This window comes from Homo sapiens, chromosome 16, assembly GCF_000001405.40.
Source record: "Homo sapiens chromosome 16, GRCh38.p14 Primary Assembly".
NCBI classification, from domain to species: domain Eukaryota; kingdom Metazoa; phylum Chordata; class Mammalia; order Primates; family Hominidae; genus Homo; species Homo sapiens.
Genome location: NC_000016.10, coordinates 71,979,582 through 72,004,557, shown reverse-complemented (window position 1 = coordinate 72,004,557; position 24,976 = coordinate 71,979,582). Strand labels below are relative to the sequence as shown.

General features: G+C 43.2%; 1 protein-coding gene and 1 pseudogene across 12 annotated transcripts in view; both read left to right on the top strand.

Moving 5' to 3' along the window:
- Nucleotides 4,156–24,976, top strand: part of PKD1L3 (polycystin 1 like 3, transient receptor potential channel interacting) — a 70,865-nt gene continuing 50,044 nt past the window's right edge. For 6 of the 12 annotated variants that reach the window (XM_024450255.2, NM_181536.2, XM_017023201.2 and 3 more), the window contains exons 1-9: nt 4,156–4,874; nt 6,164–6,286; nt 11,226–11,342; nt 14,229–14,278; nt 18,089–18,337; nt 20,391–20,522; nt 22,323–22,499; nt 24,424–24,551; nt 24,646–24,772. In XM_024450255.2, coding sequence (XP_024306023.1) covers nt 4,580–4,874; nt 6,164–6,286; nt 11,226–11,342; nt 14,229–14,278; nt 18,089–18,337; nt 20,391–20,522; nt 22,323–22,499; nt 24,424–24,551; nt 24,646–24,772 — 1,398 coding nt within the window. In that variant the 5' untranslated portion in view covers nt 4,156–4,579. Of the gene's footprint in view, nt 4,875–6,163; nt 6,287–11,225; nt 11,343–14,228; nt 14,279–15,366; nt 16,115–18,088; nt 18,338–20,390; nt 20,523–22,322; nt 22,500–24,423; nt 24,552–24,645; nt 24,773–24,976 lie in introns of those variants that run through there. The other 6 variants (XM_024450254.2, XM_024450257.2, XM_024450256.2 and 3 more) reach the window with 6 other exon arrangements.
- RPL39P31 (ribosomal protein L39 pseudogene 31) lies at nt 13,153–13,507 on the top strand (annotated as a pseudogene).

Below are 24,976 nucleotides of genomic sequence, written 5' to 3'. Positions count from 1 at the left end.
CATGGCTGGCCTGAATATATCTGGTTTCGTGCGGACAGACTCTCTTTGGCTCATGTATACCTTCAATTGCATAAGGGAGAGAATATAGAGGACATTCCAAAGGAAGTGCTGACAGACTGCGCCCACCTTGTGAAGGCCAATAGCACTCAAGGCTGCAAGAACAACGTTAATGTGGTAAATACTCCACGGTCTAACCTGAAGAAAACAGCTGACGTGGATGTGAGGCAGATAGGCTTTCACAGGCAGAAGGATGTAAAAATTGTGACAATGGAGAAGAAAGTAAATGAGATCCTGAACCGATTAGAAAAAACCAAAGTGGAGCCGGGCACGATGGCTCATGTCTGTAATCCCAGCACTTTGGGAGGCTGAGGAGGGCGGATCACGAGGTCAGGAGATCGAGACCATCCTGGCTAACACGGTGAAACCCCGTCTCTACTAAAAATACAAAAAATTAGCCGGGCGTGGTGGCAGGCGCCTGTAGTCCCAGCTACTCGGGAGGCTGAGGCAGGAGAATGGCGTGAACCCGGGAGGCGGAGCTTGCAGTGAGCTGAGATTGCGCCACTGAACTCGAGCCTGGGCGACAAAGCAACAGTCTGTCTCAAAAAAAAAATAATAATAATCTTCATTTCTGTTAAGAAGAACATGTTGGTGGGTAATTATGCGAATGTTTCCCTGTCCCTGATTTCCCAATTAGAAAAAACAGCATATGAGTTTTGGAAAAGAGAGTTCCAGAAGATTGTTGGCTTCAGTATTCACGTTCCATCGTGTCGTCTGGGTCTGTTAGTGTAGTGACCCTCAGCGCAGCCTGTCCTGGCTTTTACGTCCTTGCTTCCTCTGAGCAGGGGCCTCCATCTTAGTATCATCATATTTAAAGAAATCAATGGTGTTCATCAAGGTGGGGCCTGTGGCAGTTGTTGCCTGGGCACCAAGTCACCCAAGTCACCTACACAACAACTTCTGGGCTCAGGAGTAATTTCTCAGCACTGAGGGTAAAATAGGAAGGAACGCTCTGTTGATCATTTGGGAGATGTAGGTTACCTGATTGGTGCCTTGGAATGCAGCATGAAGCAGAAGTCCATATTGCAATTATGATTTTAGAAGGAACTAAGCATTTCACCAGCCAGCCAAGTAATTATTTTCTTTACCTTGAAATCATATTTGAGTTGTAACCCCAGAGTTCAATTTCTCATTGTAAATTCAGTAACTTACTATGTAACATTACTTCTCACTTGAACCTCTCACTATCTGTTTTGATTCCGAGCAGAAGATGTCTTTTGATTGCAGTATGTAAGGTAACCCCTGTAGAAGGAGACCAAACAAGGAGAAAGAGAACAAAGCCTGCAGGACCAGAGGCATACAGATAGACATTTTACTCACACCCACAGCAGCAAGAATGACCTCCTGCAGCAGATACTCCACCTGTAATAGCACTTTGGAACTGTGGGCAAAACCAAAAGGCTAGTGTTTCCATTTATGTATGGGGTTGAACTGGAAAATTCCCTGAGGCATAATTCATTGGCCAAATTTTGAGAGGGTATAGAAGATGACTTTAGAGATGAGTGGTTTTGTGTATGTGTCTAATGATATTCAGCCTGACGTTCTGCAATTTTAAAAATTATAATAAAGTATCATTTTTTAATCTGGAAAAAAAGCTTGAAACATATGTGTGGATGTATCATGCATTTATTTATGTATGTATATGAAGATGTTTAGAAGTTGAGGCTCTGTGAACTTTGAAAACAAAAGCATCCCACATCCAGATGATTCCATTGTCACAAACTCTTGAAAGGGTGGACTACTCTGCTCAGAAACCTTCCAAATAAACTGCAAGCCCTTTATTCTGGCATTTGAAACTCTCCCATTTTCTGGTTACAGTTCCTACTACTGTTCCACCAAGTACCCCCTACATGTACACACACACACACACACACACACACACACACTCAAGTATTTCTTTCTCTTTATCAATACCTTCCACTTTCCCACCTCTGTGTATTTATTCACATCGACTCCTCTGTCGAGATGTCCATTTCATCTGTCTAAATATTGCCATCTTAATATGTTCATTCCAAAAGCTGGAAGTAATTTCTTCCTTATCTGAACCTTCCCAGCAGCACCTAAGCTGTCCCTCTGGGCTGGCACTTTTCACTGCCTATATTAATTACAATTATTATGCCTTTTCTTCCCTAATTGGACTTTATGAAAGGGAGGATCATACTGTATTTATCTTTCATTTGATTACTGCAGTGTTTTTGGTGTTTTTCTTTTGGGTTTTTTTTTATTGTTTTTTTTTTTTTTTGAGACAGGGTCTTGCTCTGTCCCCCAGGCTGGAGTGCAGTGGTGCAATCTCAGTTTACTGCAACCTCTGCCAACCTACTGCCAAGTGATCCTACTGCCTCAGCCTCCCGAGTAGCTGGGATTACAGGCACGCGCCACCATGCACGGCTAGTTTTTGTATTTTTAGTAGAGACGGGGTTTCATCATATTGGCCAGGCTGGTCTTGAGCTCCTGACCTCAAGTGATCCGCCCACCTCGGCCTCCCAAAGCACTGGGATTACAGGCGTGAGCCACTACGCCTGGCTGATTACTGCAGTGTTTTTCAAACAGGATGTATTCTTGCAGTCTGTGTTTTAGAGAATTTCATAATTTTGGTGACCACTTCTGTACTGATTTTTAGAGTAACATAAGCATCATTTGGACTATCTGGATAACCATCTTAACCCTGAAACCTACCAAGCAGTTCAGTGCCCACATTTGTTTGAGTTTATGATCACTTTTTGGCACCAAGAAAGAACGAGCTGTAATACACGTGATGGATATGCAACAGGTGGAGACCAAATGACCTGCTGTGTGAACAAAGGTTTTTTTTGTGTGTGTATGTGTGTGTGTGAGTCAAATAAAGAAACGTGGTATCAGAACTGAACCCTCCCCATATCATAAAATAGCATGCATGCCAGATTCAAAGGAACCTGTGTAGTCGTAGGCCAGAGCCCTGTTTATCTGCCATTTAGCTTGGCAAAACTTGGATCTCATTGATTTTCAGTTTTGTTTGTATTTAATTTGTATTCATTCTTCCATTTAATATTGTTTTGTTTTTATGACCGTGTAAGAGTTTTAAGATAAAGTTCATGGACCAGGGACGGTGGCTCACACCTGCAGTTTGGGAGGCCAAGGTGAGAGGATCGTTTGAGTCCAGGAGTTCAAGGCTGCACTGAGCTATGATCATGCTACTGCCCTCCAGCCTGGGTGGCATAGTGAGACCCCATAAAAAAAAAATAGCATTTATGCCTAGTTCTGTTTGCATGTACTTAAGAGACAGAATACAGTAATTTAAATCAGTCCTGGGGGTAGCAGAGATGTAGGATGAACAAGTCAAGAGATTTAGTGTACAAACTGAAGATTACAGGTAATAAAACCATACAGTAGACAGGATTCATGCTAGATGAGATTTTAGCTGCTCTTGCTACAAAAACAAAAAAAAAAGTGGGTAACTAATGTGAGATGATGGATATGTTTGTTTTACTATAGTAACCTTCTTAATATCTATATGTATCCCATGACATCATGCTGTGTGCCTTAAATATACACAATAACATTTATTTTTTTAAAAAGTCAGGCCAGGTGCAGTAGCTCACGTCTGTAATCCCAGCACTTTGGGAGGCCGAGGTGGGTGGATCACCTAAGGTTAGGAGTTTGAGACCAGTCTGACCAACATGGCAAAACTCCATCTCTACTAAAAATACAAAATTAGCCAGGTGTGGTGGCACATGCCTCAACTACTTGGGAGGCTGAGGCAGGAGAATCGCTTGAACCCAGGAGGCAGAAGTTGCTGAGATGACACCATTGCACTCCAACCTGGGCAGCAAGAGCAAAACTCTATCTCAAAGAAAAAAAAAATCAATCCTAGGGGATCTGCAAGAATAACTTTCTTTAAAAAAAAAAAAAAAATGTGGCTGAGTGTGGTGGCTCACACCTGTAATTCCAGAACTTTGGGAGGCCGAGGTGAGCAGATGGCTTGAGCCCAGAAGAACACCCTGGGCAACATAGCAAGACCCTATCTCAAAAAAAAAAAAAAATTAGGTGGGCATGGTAGTGCACTCCTATAGTCCCCAGCTACTGAGGAGGCTGAGGTGGGAGGTTGAGGCGCAGTGAGCTGAGATCATGCCACTGCACTCCAGCCTGACCAACAGAATGAGACCCTGCCTCAGAAAAGAAAAAGCTACACTTATTAATTTTTAGCAGCACTAACTTAGATGTTAGATATTCATCATCCTCTACCCAGTGCAGCTTAGACTCAGCTTTATAATCGATCTCTATTTGCTAAAGGCATATTCGGTAGGTAGACACAGATGGTGGGGCCCCAGATAAAAAGGGCCATTGTTTTATTGATCTCTGCTATTTGTTTTCAGCTTGTAGGACCTGCACCTGGGTCCTCAAAACAAAACCTTTTGTATCCTTGGTAAATTGTTCCCAATTCATAAAAGAATAATACTAATAAGACAAGCCCGCCAATATATATATTTAAAGGACCAGGCAGCTGCTAAACCCCCACACTTTTTCTTGCTACAATTCAGAGAAAATGTTCTTCAAAGGAGGAAGCTGGCTTTGGTTATACATCAGAACAAGTATTATTCTAGGAAGTGAGCTAAACAGCCCAGCACCACATGGGCAAAATAATTGTTACCAGCTTAACAGATTTCAATGCAGCTTTGAGGAAGCACAGCATTACTGTCATGTGCAGAGAGGATTCCTAGCTCATATTTGGAACAAGGAAGTTCAAGATCTCATCCGGGACTATCTGGAAGAAGGAAAGAAGTGGTGGATTGGGCAAAATGTAATGCCATTGAAAAAGCATCAAGACAACAAATACCCAGGTAAGACCCTGGGGTTCAGTGTTTATGAAGGAAACTTCCTTATATTTTATTCTGGGACAGAAAAAAAAAAGAAAATCTTAATCTTTCTGCTTTTGTAGACAGAAAAACCAGTCACTTTACTTCATTACCATCTTTCCTCTGAAATATTTCCATTTTGTGCGACAGCCTTTGATTTGTCTGTTAGCAAAAATGATGCAATTTTTCCTGGAACCCATCTAAAGTTAACTTACCTGACCTTTCACTAAAAGAATTATGCTACGTTCCAAAGACAGAAACTTTGATGGTCATTTTTTTCCTAATAAACATCTCTTCATTATTCTGATCTCTAAGTTTCCTAACACAAAACTAAGAGGAAGAGTATCTACCTATTGTCTTTCTTACAAAGTGTTTTCTTTTTCTTTTTTTTTTTTTTTGAGATGGAGTCTCGCTCTGTCGCCCAGGCTGGAGTGCAGTGGTGCCATCTTGGCTCACTGCAAGCTCCGCCTCCCGGGTTCACGCCATTCTCCTGCCTCAACCTCCCGAGTAGCTGGGACTACAGGTGGCCGCCACCACGCCCGACTAATTTTTTGTATTTTTAGTAGAGACGGGGTTTCACTGTGTTAGCCAGGATGGTCTTGATCTCCTGACCTCGTGATCCGCCCGCCTCGGCCTCCAAAAGTGCTGGGATTACAGGCGTGAGCCACCGCGCCCGGCCCTTACAAAGTGTTTTCAAAGTTATGCACCATAATCTTGAAGTTTTAGAGACAAATCCAAGCCATTATTATATCATTCTCATCATCTTCATTAACGTGTAGATAAAGTAATACTAAGCCTTGTGGTAAGGAACACATATGAAAAAATAAACTATAATGTATGGGAGGAAATTCTACATTTTTATCTATTGGAAGTCAGTCAAATTTGGCTTTCATATTTACTTTTAAAAAATGCCTGGCAGGGTGGGTGTGGTGGCTCACGCCTGTAATCCTAGCACTTTGGAAGGTGGAGGTGGATGGATCACCTGAGATCAGGAGTTCGAGACCAGCCTGGCCAACATGGTGAAACCCCATCTCTACTAAAAATACAAAAATTAGCTGGGCGTGGTGGCGGGTGCCTGTAATCCCAGCTACTTGGGAGGCTGAGGCAGGAGAATTACTGGAACCCAGGAGGCAGAGATTGCAGTGAGTGAAGATCACACCACTGCACTCCAGCTTGGGTGACTGAGTGGGACTGTCTCAAAAACAATAATAAAAAATAAACCTAAAAGCCTGGCTTTCGAGTATGAGGCTCATCTGCGTCTGATCTCCCCTCAGCAGACGTTGCAGCCAACGGGCCCCCAAAGCCCCTCAGCTGCACCTACCTGTCCAGAAACTTCATTCGGATCTCATCCAAAGGGGACAAGTGCTTACTGAAATACTATTTCATTTGCCAGACTGGTAAGTGATAAAGCTACATGCTGCCAAAGACCCAAATTTTAGAAACTGATTCTAAATAAGGAGTGCATGTGAGAATATTGGTTAAATAGTCTGTGAGTGTTAGACCATGGGATGATACAGGGCTTTTGATTTTCATGATGCTGATTAGCATGAGAAAATTATCTGGAGTGACTTCCTTGGATCCATCCCCACTGGGAGTTGGAAGAGTTGTGCCTTGATGTCCTCCTCGTGTTTTGACTTGGGCAGAGTGTGGGAGAAATTGTATTGGTGACACCATTTTCCACATGCACACTCATAATTCAGTCAGCATTTGGGCTTCAGAGGGAAGGATGGGAAAGAGAAGGAGGAGAAGAGAATAAGGCAGAGGAAGATGAGAAGTCGAACGGTGAGAGGGCTGTTATCCGAGGTTCGCCTCTGCAGAAGTAGATCAGGATTAAGCTATGTATGTATGTACGTATGCATTTGTGTGTGTGTAGTTGTTGTATTTATTTATTTATTTATTTATTTATTTATTTATTTTTCCAAGACTGAGTTTTGCTCTTGTTGCCCAGGCTGGAGTGCAATGGCACAATCTCGGCTCACCACAAGCTCCGCCTCCCGGGTTCCAGTGATTCTCCTGCCTCAGCCTCCCTAGTAGCTGGGATTACAGGCATGTGCCACCATGCCCGGCTAATTTTGTATTTTTAGTAGAGATGGGGTTTCTCCATGTTGGTCAGGCCAGTCTCGAACTCCCAACCTCAGATGATCCGCCTGCCTTGGCCTCCCAAAGTGTTGGGATTACAGGCATGAGCCACTGCGCCCAGCCTATTTATTTTTTTATGTGGAGACGGTGGAGTGGGGAGTGGTTGTGGGGGGGGGGGTCTTGTTATGTTGTCCAGGCTGGTCTCGAACTCCTGGACTCAAGCAATCCTCCCACCTCGGCCTCTCAAAGTGCTAGGATTACAGGAATGAGCCACCGTGCCCGGCCTTGGTGATTTCTTAAAAAAAAAACAACTACCATACAACTGAGCAATTGCTGGGCATTTATCGCAGAATGAGAAAACCTGTGCTCACGTAAAACTATGTATATGGATGCTTATAGCAGCTTTATTCATAACAGAACAAAACTGGAAACAATTCAGATGTCTGTCAACAGGTGAATGATTAAACCACTGTGGTCTAGCCATAGCAGTCATACTGTTTCCACTCTCCCGGGTGACTCTTTCCCACTTTCCTCTCTCTACTTAACCTCCAACAACTGGGAGCCTCCCTCAGTCTCATTCTTAGGTCAGGTGATAACCTCGCTTTCTAACTCAAGGAGAAAAAAAAAAAAAAAAAAAATCAAAGCAATTTGGAGTCCGTCCAAGGCTCGGACCACCAAATCTACCCACCTACCAGCACCTGTACCTGTAGAGAGATAATGCCTTCTCTCATGCTGCTACAAACCTTCATACTCCTACCCAAAGTGAATCCCTCTGGTTGTTGAATTGGATTCCATGGAGTCCAATTCAGTAATAAAAAGAAACAAACTATTGATACACACAGCAATCTCCAGAGAATTGTGCCAAGTGAACAAAGCCAATCTCAAAATGTTACGTACTCTATGGTGCCATTTATTGAGCATTCTTGAAATGATAACATGATAGAAATGGAGAACAGATTAGTGGTTGTCGGGGTCTAAGAAGGGCATGGGGGCAGGAAGGAAGTAGGCGTCGCTATAAAAGGACAATGTGGGCCAGGCACAGTGGCTCATGCCTGTAATCCCAGCACTTTGGGAGGCCAAGGCGGGTGGATCACGAGGTAAAGAGATTGAGACCATCCTGGCCAACATGGTGAAACCCCAGTCTCTACTAAAAATACAAAAATTAGCCAGGCGTGGTGGTGTGCACCTGTAGTCCCAGGTACTCAGGAGGCTGAGGCAGGAGAATCGCTTGAACCGGGAGGCGGAGGTTGCAGTCAGCCAAGATTGCGCCACTGCACTCTAGCCTGGTGACAGAGCAAGACTCCGTCTCAGAAAAAAAAAAAAAAAAAAAAAAAAAGGCGGGGGAGGTGGGTCAATGTGAGGGATTCTTATAGCAATTGAAAAAAAATTTTGACATGACTGTATCAGCGTCCATATCCTGTTGTTACCCTTGCAAGATGTTACCCTTGGAAACTGGATAAAGGCATCTCTCTGCATTTTCTCTTACATCGGCATGTGAATATACAATTATCTCAAAATAATAAGTTACATTTTTTAAAAAAAAGAAAAATGCACTGATGTAAGTATACACATCACTTACACAGTATTTTTGCCAAAAAAAATAGCGTAATGCAAATTAAAAATAAACTGAGATACCCTTTCCCACCTATCAGATTGGCATAAATCCACAAACTTAACAACACTTTCCGTTGGCAAGGCCATAAGAAAATAGGTACTCTCATAAGTTGCTAGTGAGAATGCAGTAAGATATAATCTGTATATATTTATAAATAAAGGGGAATTCAGCAATATCTAGCAAAATTACATATACATCTACCCTTGACCCAGTGTCCACTGCTAGGAATCTATCCCAAAGTCAAACCAGCAAAAGTACAAAAAGATGCACACGTAAGGCTATTCATTGTAGCTCTCTGTGATAGAAAAAAGTAGGAATAATCCACATGCCCATCAAGAGGGAACTGGTTGTAAAAAGCAAATAACAACAATCTCCATGTACTGCAGTGGGGTTATCTCTATGATGTATTTTTTTAGTGGAAAATAAAGGTACAGAACATATATATTTGCCTGTATACATACACGTACGTATAAATATAACAGAAGGAGAAACAAAAACTAATGAAAATGGTTACCTATGAGGGAGAGAGAAAATAGGGCAGAAAGGATGAAGATGGAAATGAGACCTTTCGAAATGTACCTGGTTTTATAGTTTGGCATTGGAACTCTTTAAATGTTTTCCATAATTATTGCTATGGTTTGAATGTGCCCCTTCCAAAACAGGTGTTGCCAATGTGATCGCATTAAGACGTGGGGCTTTAAGAGGTGGGTTGGCCTACAGGGCTCCTCCCTTGTGAATGGGATTAGGGGCCCTTATAAAAGGACTTGGCAGAGGGAGGGCTTCTCTTGCCTTTTCACCTTACGAGGTTGCAGCCTTCCCCCAACTCCAAGTGCCAGTGCCTTCTTCTTGGACGTCCAGCCTCCAGAACTGTGAGCATTAGATTTCTGTTCTTTATAAATTACCCTGTTTGTGGTAGTCTGTTATAGCAGTGCAAAACAGACTAAAGCAATTATAAAACAAATTTAAGTCAACTGTTTTTTTTTCTTGAGATGGAGTTTTACTCTTGTTGCCCAGGCTGGAGTGTAATGGCGTGATCTTGGCTCACTGCAACCTCCACCTCCTGGGTTCAAGTGATTCTCCTGCCTCAGCCTCCCAAGTAGCTGGGATTATAGGCACTCGGCTAATTTTTGTATTTTTAGTAGAGACGGCGGTTTCACCATCCTGGCCAGGCTGGTCTCGAACTCCTGACCTCAGGTGATACAGTCTCCTCGGCCTCCCTAAGTGCGGGGATTACAGGCATGAGCCACCACACCCAGCCTGTTAACATTGTAAAAAGCAATCCCTAAATGTAGGGAAAAAGAGGGGAGGAGAAGAATTGGAGCTGATAAGTTTGGACAATTTTTAAGGTAATTTTGCTCAAGAGCAGGAAACAGCTGGGGCAATAGTTCATGAGGCCAATATAAGTTGCTGGGTTTTTTTTAAGGCAGAAGAAATAGCATGCAGGAATGATGTACTTAATCTGAGCTACCAAACAACTAGAGGGATTCACTTTGGGTAGGAGTAGGAAGATTTGTAGCAGCATGAGAGAAGGCATTGTCTCGCTACAGGTACAGGTGCTGGTAGACAGCTAGATTTGATGGTCAGAGTCATGGAAGGACTCTAAATTGCTTTGATATTCCCCTTGAGTTAGAAAGCAAGGTTATCACCTGACCTAAGAATGAGACTGAGGGAGGCTCCCAGGTGTTGGAGGTTGAGTAGAGAGAGGGAAGTGGGAGTCACCTGGGAGAGTGGAAACAGTATGACTGCCAGGCAGTATGAAGGCAGGCTGCTCGAGCTTCACGATAGCGAATTTAAGCTGAGCCATAGTCATCATGGTTATATGATTTTCTCTAGCCATGTCCAATTGTGTGTGTGAGAAACTCTTGCTCGTGTATGCAAGGAGGCATGTTCAAGAATGTTATTGCCAGACGGGCGTGGTGGCTCACACCTGTAATCCTAGCACTTTGGGAGGCCAAGGCGGGCACATTACCTGAGGTCAGGAGTTCAAGACCAGCCTGGCCAACATGGTGAAACCTCGTTTCTACTAAAAATAAAAAATTAGGCGTGGTGGCACGTGCCTGTAATCCCAGCTACTCGGGAGGCTGAGGCAGGAGAATCACTTGAACCCAGAAGGTGCAGATTGCAGTGAGCCCAGATCGTGCCATTGCATTCCAGCCTGGGCAACAGAGCAAAAATTGTCTCAAAAAAAAGAATGTTATCATCCACCTTCTGAACTCTTTTATCTCTACCAATGAGAGTTACAGAACTCAAAGGAGAATATTACGCTTAGTATGGAATTTTCCATTTATGCTGGAGGTTGCAAACTTTTTTGGTGAAAAATCAGACCCTGGCGATGACCTTAAGCAGTAGGATGTAAATAACTCCACATGCCTAGTGTTCCAATAATGGAACACTAGGCATAAATGGGTTAATGAACTTCTCAGTGTTGACCCAACTAGTGAACTTAATTTGAAATGTGGGACACCATAATGTGAGCAGAGCAAAAGGGCTACTGCAGAATTCTTAGTGTCCTTAAAAAACTGGATAGGAATTTTTAATTTGTGTTTTCCTGATTATCACATACGTGCATGTAATGATGGTTTTATAGACTTGTAGCCATAGCTATAACCTATAAATTAACTTGTGTGTTGGCTTTCAAATAGGTGACTTTTTGGACGGAGATGCCCATTATGAAAGAAATGGAAATAATTCCCATTTGTACCAGAGACACAAGAAGACAAAAAGAGGAGTTGCAATAGCAAGAGACAAAATGCCCCCAGGTAATGCGTTACTCCTCTAGTAACCTTAAAAATCCGTGGAATCAATTTCTGCTAAAAGAATGCACAAGACTGAATTAATGCTGAAATGTGTTATAACATGTGCCCAATATTCGTTGCATTCTATTCTGTCTGATCTTAATATGGCAGTCTTTGCCTTCATTTTATGTATGTGTTTTCTTGATATGCCCTTGGCCGCCGTCTTTTCATATATTCCCAAATAAAAGACAAGGTTTTATTCCCACAAAATTTTTCATCAACAAAGTAGTCGTCTTAAAGTTCTTGCAAAGTCTTTCAAATTATGGTGTTATCACTTGTTTATTTAATTTTGAAAAACAAGTACTATTTGGGAAGGATGCATTAGCCTGAAATGACGGCAATCAATATCGGTGGATGGGTGGTTATAGAGATCAACTGAAAGAAAGAAGTGAAACAGATCGATTTAAAGTGGATCTCGTGATCACTCTTCGGGGTATGACCTCACAGCTGCAAATGTTAGATGTCCTGATCAACAAACCCTTTAAATATCACTTAGCAATATAGAAGGTTTTATTTAGAGACATGAATATATATTTAAAGAACAAATGTAAAATCCAGCTTTTCTCAATCCTTTGTAAATTGGGACTTGTGAGTTGTAGGAAAATGTTTAGTGATAGCATTAGGTGGAAGTAAAGATGACATATTTTGGAAAACTGTTAAATCCAAAAGTTGTTCTGATGATAATTAATGCAATGATGTTAAAGACACATTTGAAATGTTTAAGCTGTGTCCCGCAATGTGAGTTTAGTGAGAGCAATGCTTCCATTATTACCTTACGTAACATGTGGCTTTAAGTGTCATAGTAAAACTAAATTACTGAATTAAATAGACATTTGACTATTTCACCTATATCCTTTAAGTTTATATTGTCAAGCTTGCCCCAGGAATACTTTTTAAAATCTCCTCATTGGGAAAAATGTAGACTGCCTTATTGTGGGGCAATTTACCTAACAAGCAATATGCCTAATATTTATGTACGTAGGGTCCTTTAAAAAGTTTGCGGGCTGGATCTCCCCTCAGCAGACATTTGCTCACACCTGTAATCCTAGGTGTGGCTTGGGTGTAATACGGTGGCTCACACCTGTAATCCCAGCACCGTGGGAGGCTGAGTTGGAAGGACTGCTTGAGGCCAGGAGTTCCAGTCCAACCTGGGCAACATACTGGGTCTCTGTCTCTACAAAAAACTTTTAAAAATAAAAATTAAAAAAATTAGATGTGGTGGTCCATGCCTATAGTCTCAGCTACTCAGGAGGCTGAGGAAGGAGGATAGTTTAAATCCAGGAGTTAGAGGCTGTTAGAGCCATACCGCACTCCAGGCATCCTTTTAAAATCTCTATCAGATTGCTTGTAAAAGTTTTTTGTAATTCAGAAATTTTCTCAGTGTGTATCTAGGTTACTTTTCACTAATTGTGCTTAGAACATGATGCTACATATACACATCTTTTTTGAATCAAGAATATCCTACGTATGTATCACTTCTATTTCATTTGTTGTGGTTTTGTCCTTAGGAAATACCAGATATCTACGTGCCATATTGCTGCTTCCTACCCTCTGTGTCTTTCCTGTACTCTTTAAATGAAAAAGAATGGTTTCGTATTTATCACCCTTTTTGTTGTTAGGAGAGCACCTTACATTTATCTTCCATATCAGGGACTAATTTTTCCACATCTGCTCAGTATTCCCTCCCATGTGGATTTTAATTTTTCTACAGTATTTTTTTTGTCATCTTGAAATCCTTTGATATCGTTTATTTTTCTTTTAATGTACCTCATTCTGGTGCATGTTAGCTTCAAGTGGTTATCCTTAGGATTTTGTTTGGTTACCTCTACCTTTCTCCATCATCATGGTGGGTGTGGTTGACTCGGTTTCTTGCCATGTCTTCTCACAAGACTTTCAGGATCATGTGATTCCTGGCCAAGAAATAAAAGCAAAATCATTTTATTCCCCAGTGGATTCGGATGAAACCGGTGATAAAATCAGGTACAACTCCAAGAGGAGACACTGGAGAACAGGCATGCTGGGTCTGTAAGGAACTGCACGTTAAGATGGCACATATACTTATGCTGTATCAATCAAGGTCGTCCCTGTATCAATCACTGTCATCTTACCTTTTCAAGCTGAAAATGTCCCATATGTTCAGGCATTTTTTACTGGGAAAATGGTTTTTCTCTTTGTTTCTGTGTTCTTCACTCATAAGCTGATGCAGTAATAAATAGGTGAGACCTTTTATTTGGGGAAATAACCTTTTTCGTTCTATTAAGGATGTTCTTATTAAGGATGTATTAACAGCTTTCTGAACTTTTTTTCTGGATTTTGTTGTTGATAATTTTCAGGGCTGTGCTTTCCTTGGAGTCCTCTGGATTCCATTCCCAGGTCCTCGAGTGATCATCATAGGTTCCCTTTTGTCTTTTCCTTCCTTACCTTTATTTTTTTTTGGCAGGGGGTGGGGGTGGAATCTAGCTCTGTTGCCCAGGCTAGAGTGCAGTGGCACAATCTCGGCTCACTGCAACCTCTGCCTCCCAGGTTCAAACAATTGTCCTGCCTCAGCCTCCCGAGTAGCTGGGATTATATGCATCCGCCACCACGCCCGGCTAATTATTATGTTTTTAGTAGAGATAGGGGTTTCACCACACTGGCCAGGCTGGTCTCAAACTCCTGACCTCAAGTGATCTGCCTGCCTCAGCCTCCCAAAGTGCTGGGATTACAGACATGAGCTACCATGTCCGGCCTTGGTTTTCTATGTAAAACAATTTGCATTATTTTTAGCCATGAATAAGAAGTCCTCAAGTAAAACGAATATTTCTGTCTTAGGCTTTTACTTGAACTTAGTCTGCTTTCTTTTTTCTATAGGACCTGGTCATCTTCCAACCACATGTCACTATCCTCTTCCTGCTCATCTTGTAAGTGCTTCCCTTGACAACATACATTGTGAAATGTTGATCTCTTTGTCATACCTAGTAGATCTGGTTAGAGCTCTATCTTGTAGAGTGTTCTGAATATAGTTTTCTAATAAGGAAAATAAAGTACTTACGTGCAAGAAAAAAATTGGATTTAATAGGTACTTCATTCAAGGATTTTTTTTTTTTTTTTTTTTGGTGGGAGAGACAGGGTCTCACTTTGTCACCCAGGCTGGAGTGCAATGGTGCCATCCATCTTGGCTCACTGCAACCTCTACCTCCCGGGTTCAAGTGATTCTCCTGCCTCAGCCTCCCAAGTAGCTGGGATTACAGGCCTGCGCCACCACACCCAGCTAATTTTTGTATTTTTAGTAGAGATGGAGTTTTGCTATGTTGGCCAGGCTGGTCTCAAACTCCTGACCTCAAGCAATTCACCTGCCTCAGCCTCCCAAACTGCTGGGATTACACGTGTGAGCCACCACCTCCAAACTTGGAATTTTTAAAGCCTCTCTTTCTGGCTTTCATGCTGATGTAATTATCAAGTGTTTGTTGGTTGGGTATTTATTCCCTGCTTCATTCCAGAAAGGACTTGTGGCATCTTACAAAAATACAATGCAATAAAACGTAAACATCTAACAGAAAGGGAAAGGAAATAAAGGTAGAAACTGTCCACATAATCTATAAAATTTCACCTTCAAGAAATCTCTCAGCATTCTTGCCCTTGTGTCCTATGTAGAAACCCTTTAGTTGATGCCTAAACACAGATATGCATTTGTTTGACTCAATGCTCGCTGCAAAAATAAGTGTTTCTAACAGTATAAAAGAACAGAGGCTGGGCACGGTGGCTCACGCCCGTAATCCCAGCCCTTTGGGAGGCCGAGGCGGGCGGATCACCTGAGGTCGGGAGTTCGAGACCAGCCTGGCCAACATGGTGAAACCTCGTCTCTACTAAAAGTATAAAAATTAGCCAGGCTTGGTGGAGCGCCTGTAATCCCAGCTACTTGGGAGGCTGAGGCAGGAGAATCACTTGAACCCAGGAGGCGGAGTTTGCAGTGGGCCAAGATTGTGCCATTGCACTCCAGCTTGGGCGACAGAGGGAGACTGCATCTCAAAAACAAAACAAAACAAAAAAACCCTCAGTATTTCCCACGCTGTTTTCTGCAGAGCAACAACCACTAGCCCTTGAAATTGAAAGAGATAAAAATATGCCACTCTGCTATATTGATGATTTCAGTTAAAGGCATTTGAAAAATGGCAGGTGCAAAAACAGCACTCTGACCTTGGTACCGTTTCTTAAAAACAAGGTAAAATTCTCTTGTGAAATATGCAACATTGTTGTCCTCCAGGAGAAGTCAAGACCTGGAGAATTCTGCACAGGACTTGTTAAGATAACGCTTATCTTTTAAGCCTCCCCACATAATTTCACTTCTTCACAACTATTTGTCCAATTCAGCATAGGAGAGATGGACTCTAACTGCTGCTTCAGGTCTTCATTTTTTTTATGAGGGCTCCTGTGCCACATAAAACTTGGACTCAATAAATGTGTGTGCTTTTCTCCCGTTTATCTTATGTTAGTTTAATTCTCAGGCCCAGCTGGAGCCCTAAGAGAATGGAGGTGGAGTTTTGCCACCCCTATAATATGTTGCTGGAAGAGAAGACAACAAAGGCTTTTGACTATAGGACTTTGCAGTCTTTCACAGGTCCCAAATCTAACCCCTTCTCACCATGGTCACCACGATCACCACATGGTCCAAGTCACCATCTCCCATCTGAACTTTCACGTTTGCTGGCTTGGTGCGGTGGCTTATGCCTGCAGTCCCCATACTTTGGGAGGCCAAGGTGGGTGGATCACTTGAGGCCAGGATTTCGAGGCCAGCCAGGCCAACATGGCGAAACCCCATCTCTACTAAAAATATGAAAATTAGCCGGGTGTGATGGCAGGTGCCCGTAATCCCAGCTACTGGGGAGGGTGAGGCAGAAGAATTCCTTGAACCTGGGAGGTGGAGGTTGCGGTGAGCCAAGATCGCACCGCTGAACTCCAGCCTGGGTGACAGAAGGAGACACGATTTCAAAACAAAAAAAAAATTTACAAATGAACTTTTACATTTGCCTCCTACTGATCTGCTTCTACTGTTGCCCCCTTTTCTGACCCTTCTCAACAGAATGGTTGATCATTTAAAACACAGAAGGATCCGTGAAAACAAGTGAAATCATGCCACTGTTCTGCAAAGCCCTTTGTCTTCCTGCCTCATTAAAAATAACATCTGCATTCCCTTCAACTGCCTGATATATGACACTCCCCTGGCCCTGGGATCTTATTGAATCCCCCTCCTGCCACCATCACTCCTCTAGCTTCCTTGGTCTTCCTCAGAGCTAGCTGGCTGTGGGCTTGGGGGCCTTTGCACTCCTCACATACCGTCACTAACCTATGGGCAGAGCTCTCTCTCTCCCTGTATTCAACTCAGCAAAAATGTCCCTCCATCAGACACAGTGCCTCATGCCTGTAATCTCAGCACTCTGGGACTCCGAGGCAGGAGGATCGCTTAAGCTAGGAGTTCAAGACCAGCCTGGGCAACGTAGTGAAATCCTGTCTAAAAAAGTGAAAAAAGGCCGGGTGCAGTGGCTCACACCTGTAATCCCAGCACTTTGGGAGGCCGAGGTGGCGGATCACTTGAGGTCAGGAGTTTGAGACCAGCCTGGGCAACATGGTGGTGAAACCCTGTCTCTACTAAAAATACAAAAATTAGCCGGGTGTGGTGATGTGGTCCTGTAGTCCCAGCCACTCAGGAGGCTGAGCCAGGAGAATTGCTTGAACCGGGAAGAGGAGGCTGCAGTGAGCTGAGGTGGCGCCACTGCACTCCAGCCTGGGTAACAGAGCAAGACTCCATCTCAAAAGTAGCCAGGCATGGTGGTGTGTGCCTGTAGTCCCAGCTGCTTGGGAGGCTGAGGCAGGAGGATTACCTGAACCCAGGAGGTCAAGGCTGCAAGGAGCCATGATTGTGCCACTGTACTCCAGCCCGGGTGACAGAGTGACAACCAGTCTCAAGAAATCCTCTCCTCAGCCGGGTGCAGTGGCTCACGCCTGTAATCCTAGCACTTTGGGAGGCCAAGGTGGGTGGATCACAAGGTCAGGAGATCGAGACCATCCTGGCCAACATGGTGAAACCCCATCTCTACTAAAAATACAAAAATTAGCCGGGCATGGTGGTGCACGCCTGTAATCCCAGCTACTGAGGAGGCTGAGGCAGGAGAATCACTTGAACCCAGGAGGCGGAGGCTGCAGTGAGCCGAGATCGTGCCACTGCACTCCAGCCTGGGAGACAGAGTGAGACTCTGTCTCAAAAAAAAAAAAAAAAAAAAAAAAAAAATCCTCTCCTTACCACTGAACATCCTCCATGACATCCACTTTCTCTCTGCTTAGCATTATTGTTTTCTTCATAGCACGTATTTAATATGTGACATAATTTGTTTCTCTGCCTCTACCACTAACACAGGGGCTCGACAAGCGCAGGAACTTGGCTCCTTTTGCTCATTGCCATATTCAGTTCTCTAGAACATTCTTAGCAACTTATAAATGTTTAAGAATTTATTGAACGATTGACAATAAATACACTAATATAAATCATGAATCTCAAGTAATATGCAGATTTCTTGAAATTTCAAAATTCTGTTTGAGCACAGAATTTTTTTTAACAGAAATGCCTATTAGTATCTCATAGGACAGAGTTTCAGAGTATTTGGGGAAATGCTGCCTTAATTATAAAATGGTAAAATCAGATTCAGTCTTTTCCTTTACATATTTTTATCTTTTAGTCCAAGACCCTGTGTCATCCCATCAGCCAGTTTCCTTCAGTACTATCAAGTATCACATCACAGGTAACATCAGCCGCATCTGAACCCAGCAGCCAGCCTCTCCCTGTGATAACACAGCTCACCATGCCCGTGTCTGTCACGCATGCTGGGCAATCTCTGGCAGAAACAACTTCAAGCCCAAAGGAAGAAGGTCATCCGAATACCTTCACCTCTTATCTACAAGTGTCATTGCAGAAGGCATCTGGTCAGGTAAACATGGGAAATTCAAGTCACAGGTAGCTTTGTGACCCCCAAAAAGTACTTGGTTCACCCATTTGCCTCCCTGCAGAACTACACCTAAGAATGCCTGACAGACCAGCGTATATGCCAATCCAAAACAAAAACTAAACAAGTCCATGGAAACAGCCAATTTGACAGCACATATACAGCCCAACGTTTCATTAATGACACTATTTAATGCTATTCTATTTAATGCTTCAGATGGGGAAGAAGTTCTGTTCACCTACCCTGCTTTTTCAGCAGCAGCAAACCTCTAGACAATTCCTCCTACTCACTGTCCCCTCTCTCCGCCTTGTTTCCTTCCTCCCAAAAACATGGACAAGGCAGCCAGGCTCACTGAGTCACGCCTATAATCCCAGCATTTGGGAGGCCAAGGTGAGAGGATCACTTGAGCCCAGGAGTTTTAGACCAGACTGGGCAACGTAGCAAGACCTTTCTCTACTAAAGTTCAAAAAAATTAGCCAGGCACAGTGGCTCACGCCTGTAATTCCAGCACTTTGGGAGGCCGAGGTGGAGGATCACGTAAGCCCGAGTTTGAGACCAGCTTAGGCAACTTTATGAGACCTTTTCTCTATTAAACTTCAAAAAAAAATTAGCCAGGTGTGGTGGCATGTGCCTGTAGTCCCAGCTACTTGGGGGTGGCGGGGCAGGGGCTGAGGTGGGAGGGTTGCTTGAGCCTGGGAGGTCCAGACTGCAGTGAGCCATGATTGTGCCACTGTATACTGTAGGCTGGGCAACAGAACAAAACTCTCTCTCAAAAAAAGGCAAAGTCCCTTTGACAGTATTGACTGAAGAAAATAATCCTGCTTCCCTCATGCTTTTTTTTCCCTAAACTCAAACGAGCCCTGTTTATATGCAGTTGAACATTTCCCTGCTAAAACAATCCTGTTCACTCTGGATCTGCTTGCAATGGTAATGGAAATTCAGTGTTCTATTTGGGGGAGAAACTGACCTACAGGAGTTTAAACAAAGATTTTTGTTTTTGTTTTTGTTTTTCTTGGAAATCCTGAAGTACAGAATATCTAAAAGGATCTATAATAAATTATTAGAAATATTAAGAGGATTTAGCAATGTCAGCATTTAATCAAGATTTCTTGAATATGTGGTTGAATTAGGCTGTGAGTGAGGTATTCTCCAGAAATGGACCATGTAGTTGGCATTAATGGTGATTGTCTCAGGGTTGGACTTTGAGTTCAAGTGCAGTAGCCACTTAAGCTTTGGGACCGCGGCCATTTGCTCAGTCTGTTTCTTAGGGCAGGGAGGTTTTCTGCTTCCCACCTCTTGCTATGAGTCATTTTAAGTCATTACCTCTTGAATATGGACTCTTTTTTTGAGACAGATTCTCGATCTGTCGCCCAGGCTGGAGTGCAGTGGCGCAATCTCGGCTCACTGCAACCTCTGCCTCCCGGGTTCAAGAGATTCTCCTGCCTCAGCCTCCCGAGTAGCTGGGACTACAGGTGTACACCACCAAGCCTGGTTAATTTTTGTATTTTTAGTAGAGACAGGGTTTTGCTATGTAGGCCAGGTTGCTCTTGAACTCCTGACCTCAAGTGATCTGCCTGCCTTAGCCTCCCAAGTGCTGGGATGACAGGCGTGAGCCATCACGCCCAGCCTTAAATACGAATACTTGAATGGAGGGAAACACACACACAGGGAAGCCTGAGAGGAAAACATACTTCTGAATAGAAAAGTTTGGTTTTGGCTTTTTAATTTCCAAGTTTCCCTCATCTTCATGGCCTTAACACTTAAAGTTACTGCTATAAATCTTATTTCCAGACTCATTTGCCCTTGGAGCAATCATTATATAATCTCGTTATTCATTTTCTCTATCGTATGGAAGAAGTAGAAATAAATTCTGTCCACTCGCAGAAAAGCTTCTGAAAGTAATCACTGTTTTAGAGAGCTGTGGTTCATAGGGTTTATAAAGTTACCCAAGGTCAACTTGGATGAAAATAATCTCCCTGACTACTACAGTACAGTAATTTTGTATGAGTAATTTTGACAACTTCTTTGTTCCCAATAGGTCATAGATGAGATAGCAGGGAACTTCAGCAGAGCAGTTCATGGTTTGCAAGCTCTTAACAAACTACAGGAAGCTTGTGAGTTCCTCCAGAAACTAACAGCCTTAACCCCAAGATTTTCTAAGCCAGCTCAGGTAAGTGGAGGGTGACTGGGAGGGAAGAAGGTAGGAGAGAGGGAAAAGCGGAAAACAGAAAAAGAGAATCTGAGGCTGGGTGCGGTGGCTCACGCCTGTAATCCCAGCACTTTAGAAGGCCGAGGCGGGCGGATCACATGAGGCCAGGAGTTCAAGACCTGACTGGGCAACATGGCAAAACCCGTCTCTACTGAAAAAACAAAAATTAGCTGGGCTCGGTGGCGGGCACCTGTAATCTCAGCTACTTGGAAGGCTGAGGCACAATAATCACTTGAACCCAGGAGGCAGAGGCAATGAGCCAAGATCCCGCCACTCCACTCCAGCCTGGGTGGCTGAGAGACTGTGTCTCCAAAAAAAAAAAAAAAAAAAAAAGAAAGAGAATCTGGAGATTGTGCCTTATGCCAAGCTTAGCATTATAAAGACTGTATTTAAATTTTAGCAAGCATATTTTTTTACCTTTAAATCTGGAAAGTTATGAATTAAATTGATCAGTAGTGACATTGTTGGATATACTGTGTTTATGTTCATTTGTTGATTAATCAGCTGGTACTGCCTTGCTGATGCATTTGTTAGAAGTCTGTCGGCATTCAGTGGAACACATTGGCTCCCACCTGTAGTCCCAGCACTTTGGGAGGCTGAATCAGGCGGATAGCTTGAGCCCAGGAGTTCGAGACCAGCCTGGGCAACATGGTGAAACCCTGTCTCTATCAAAAATACAAAACTTAACTGGGTGTGGTGGTGCTCACCTGTAGTTGCAGCTACTTGGGAGGCTGAGATGGGAGGATGGTTTGAGCCCGGAAGGTGGAGGTTGCAGTGAGCCAAGACTCTGCCACTGCACTCCAGCCTGGGTGACAGAGCCACACTCTGTCTGAAATTAAAAAGACAAAAAACTCAGCATTGGTCTTTTCTTCATTCCTTTTTTTAGTCTGATGGTATTAATTGGATATTTGGTCTACTCACCACTCAAAAAGAATTGTCAGTTTGTCAGAATAACATGAAATATGAATCCTCCCTTATAGGTTATATGAAATAATATATTCTCCTTCCCTGTCAAATTGTAACTTTTTTTTTATAAAATGCATTTGAAATGTATAACGAATATTAAGCTGCTAATAAGAAGTATGCAAATTGAAAATAATCATGTGCTAGGTGTGTGGCTCATGTCTGTAATCTAAACACTTTGGGAGGCCAAGACAGGAGGATCTCTTGGGGCCAGGTGTTTGAGACCAGCCTGGGCAATACAGTGAGCCCCTGCCTCTACAAAAAATTTTTAAAAATTAGGTGTGGTGGTACCCACCTGTGTCCTAGCTACTGGGGAGGCTGAGGAAGGAGGATTGCTTGAGTCCAGAAGTTCGAGGCTGCAGTGAGGCATGATTGTACCACTGCACTCCAGACGGGGCAACAGAGCAAGACCCCATCTCTTAAAAGTAAAATTTTAAAAAGCAATCATAGGCTGGGCGTGGTGGCTCACACCTGTAATCCCAGCACTTTGGGAGGCCAGGGTAGGAAGATCACCTGAGGTCAGGAGTTGGAGACCAGCCTGACCAACATGGAGAAACTCCATCTCTGCTAAAAATACAAAATTAGTTGAGCATGGTGGCTCATGCCTGTAGTCCTAGCTACTCAGGAGGCTGAGGCAGGAGAATTGCTTGAACCCGGGAGGCAGAGGTTGCAGTGAGTCGATATCACGCCATTGCACTCTAGCCTGGGCAACAAGAGTGAAACTCTGTCACCAAAAAAAAAAAAAAAAAAAAAAAGCAAACAATTCAAGGGTGTATGTTTGCTTTCTAATCCTCCCAGGTTAATCTCATCAATTCCCTTATTTACCTGAGTGAGGAGTTACTCAGGATCCCATTTCAGAACAACAACAGTCTGGGCTTCAAAGTTCCTCCAACTGTCTGCCCCTTTCATTCCCTCAACAATGTCACCAAAGCTGGAGAAGGAAGTTGGCTGGAATCCAAGCGTCATACTGAGCCGGTAGGTGCCAGATATGCAGGTGGCCAGATCTGCTTAGAAGCATTTTAATCTTGACAGGTCCAGGTATCACAGCCTCTCCCCAGACCTTTAAAGATAATCTTGCTGAAGTTTCTGCTGCAGAAGAAACTCCTCTGCCATGCCTTCTCCAAGGTCTCCCTCCCCACCCCACCAGTGAGCCAAGACTCCCTAGTGCTGTAATCAAGTGAAAAGGACTTAGGGGCTGGACCCGGTGGCTCACACCTGTAATCCCAGCACTTTGGGAGGCCAAGGCAGGCAGATCACCTGAGGTCAGGAGTTCGAGACCAGCCTGGCCCACATGGCGAAACTGCATCTCTACTAAAAATACAAAAATGAGCCAGGCATTGTGGTACATGCCTGTAATCCCAGCTACTCAGGAGGCTGAGGCAGGAGAATCGCTTGAACCTGGGAGGCAGAGGTTGCAGTGAATCGAGATCATGCCACTGCACACAGCCCAGACAACAGAGCGAGATTCCATAAAAAAAAAAAAAAAAAAAAAAAAAAAGAATTTAGGAAAGTGTTGGCATAAAGCAAACACTCAACAGGTTATGTTTGCTATTCACATGAAAAGATGCTCGACATCATTGGTCATTAGGGAAATGCAAATCAAAACTAAAATGAGATACCACTTCACACCCAAAAAGACAGAAAATAACAAGTACTGGCAAGGATGCAGAGAACTTGCCACCCTATCCATTGTTCGATTGTAAAATGATGCAGCCACTTTGGAAAACAATTTATCAGTTGCTTAAAATGTAAAAAATAGAATCGCCATGTAACCTAGCAATTCTACTCCTAGTGTCTACCCAAGAGAGTTGAAAACATGTCCATACAGAAACTTGTACACTCAAGTTTGTAGCAGCATGGTTTAATAGCTAAATAGCCAAAAAGTGGAGATAACCCACACATCTATGATCTAATGGATGGCTAAGTAGAATCTGGTCTATTCATACAATGGAATATTATTCAGCAACAAAAAGGAATGAAGTCCTGGTACATGCTCCAACATGAGCTTTGAAAACATTATGCCAGGTGAAAGAAGCCTATCACAAAAGACTGTATGTTGTGATTCACTTATATGAAATGTCCCAAAGAGGCAAATCTGTAGACACATAAAGTAGATTCGTTGTTGCCTAGAGCTAGAGGGACTAGGGATGAGGGAATGGAGAGTGACTGCTAATGGGTACCAGGTTTATTTTATTTTATGAGACAGAGTCTCGCTCTGTTGCCCAGGCTGGAGTGCAGTAGTGTGATCTGGGTGCTCTGCAACCTCCACCTCCCGGGTTTAAGCAATTCTTCCACCTCAGCCTCCCAAGTAGCTGAGACTACAGGTGCACACCACCATGCCTGCCTAATTTTTGGTACTTTTAGTAGAGACAGGGTTTCACAATGTCGGCCAGGTAGGTCTCAAACTTTTGACCTCAAGTGACCCACCTGCCTCAGCCTCCCAAAGTGTTGGGATTACAGGTATGAGCCACCACACCCGGCCACCATGTTTATTTTAGGGAGGATGAATCCTAAAATTAGATTGTGGTGATGGTTGCACAATCCTGTGAATATACTAAAAAACGTTAAATTATATACTCTGAGTGGATGAACTGTATATGTGAAAGTTACCTCAATAAAGCTGTCATTTAAAAACTCTATCGTGAGCAGGTCTAGGGCAATTATATGATGGGGCAAAGGCATATTTCCTTGGCCAGCCCTCTTAGTTTGGTTCAAAGGATGCTAAGTCTTTAGCCAGGTTGCAAGTACTTTCTGTGAGATTCCAAGGTCCTCTCTAAGGAATACTACCCTTCATTACAACACTGTGAAAATTCCCCTTCCAATCTTCTCCAAAACATTATTTTACTAACATAAGACACTGAGGTTTTACAAGTCACACACTGTTTTCCTTTCCATGCAGGTAGAAGACATCCTGGAAATGTCCTTGGTGGAGTTTGGGAATATCGGGGAAGCATTTCTAGAGCAGAACCAGTCTCCCGAGTCTTCAGTGACTTTGACCTCTGCCAATGCTACTCTGCTGCTGAGCAGGTTAATGGGAAGAAGGAACGGGGAGAGTTTCACTGTGTTTTTCACTTTCAGAGGACACACAAAAATTGACTTCCATTTTAACTTTTCTCATTAGACAAAACATATCAACTTTACCGCTGAGCTCTTACACTCTGGGTCACCCAGCCCCTGTGAGGCTAGGCTTTCCGTCGGCTTTAGCTTTGAAGGAGCTCTTGAATAAACATCCAGGAGTTAATGTCCAAGTGAGTGTGAAATTGATTGTGATCAGAATGAAAATGGGATCTGATGGCCATGTAGGCATTTGGGTGAAAGTAATGTATCATGAAATGTAAACTGAACAGACCAGATCAGATGAGAGAGTTTATGTAGCATTCATTTTTATTTTACACTGGCAGGGATAGAGGCCTCTTAAAAATGATCCACTGTAGAAGTTGGGAACATTAAAC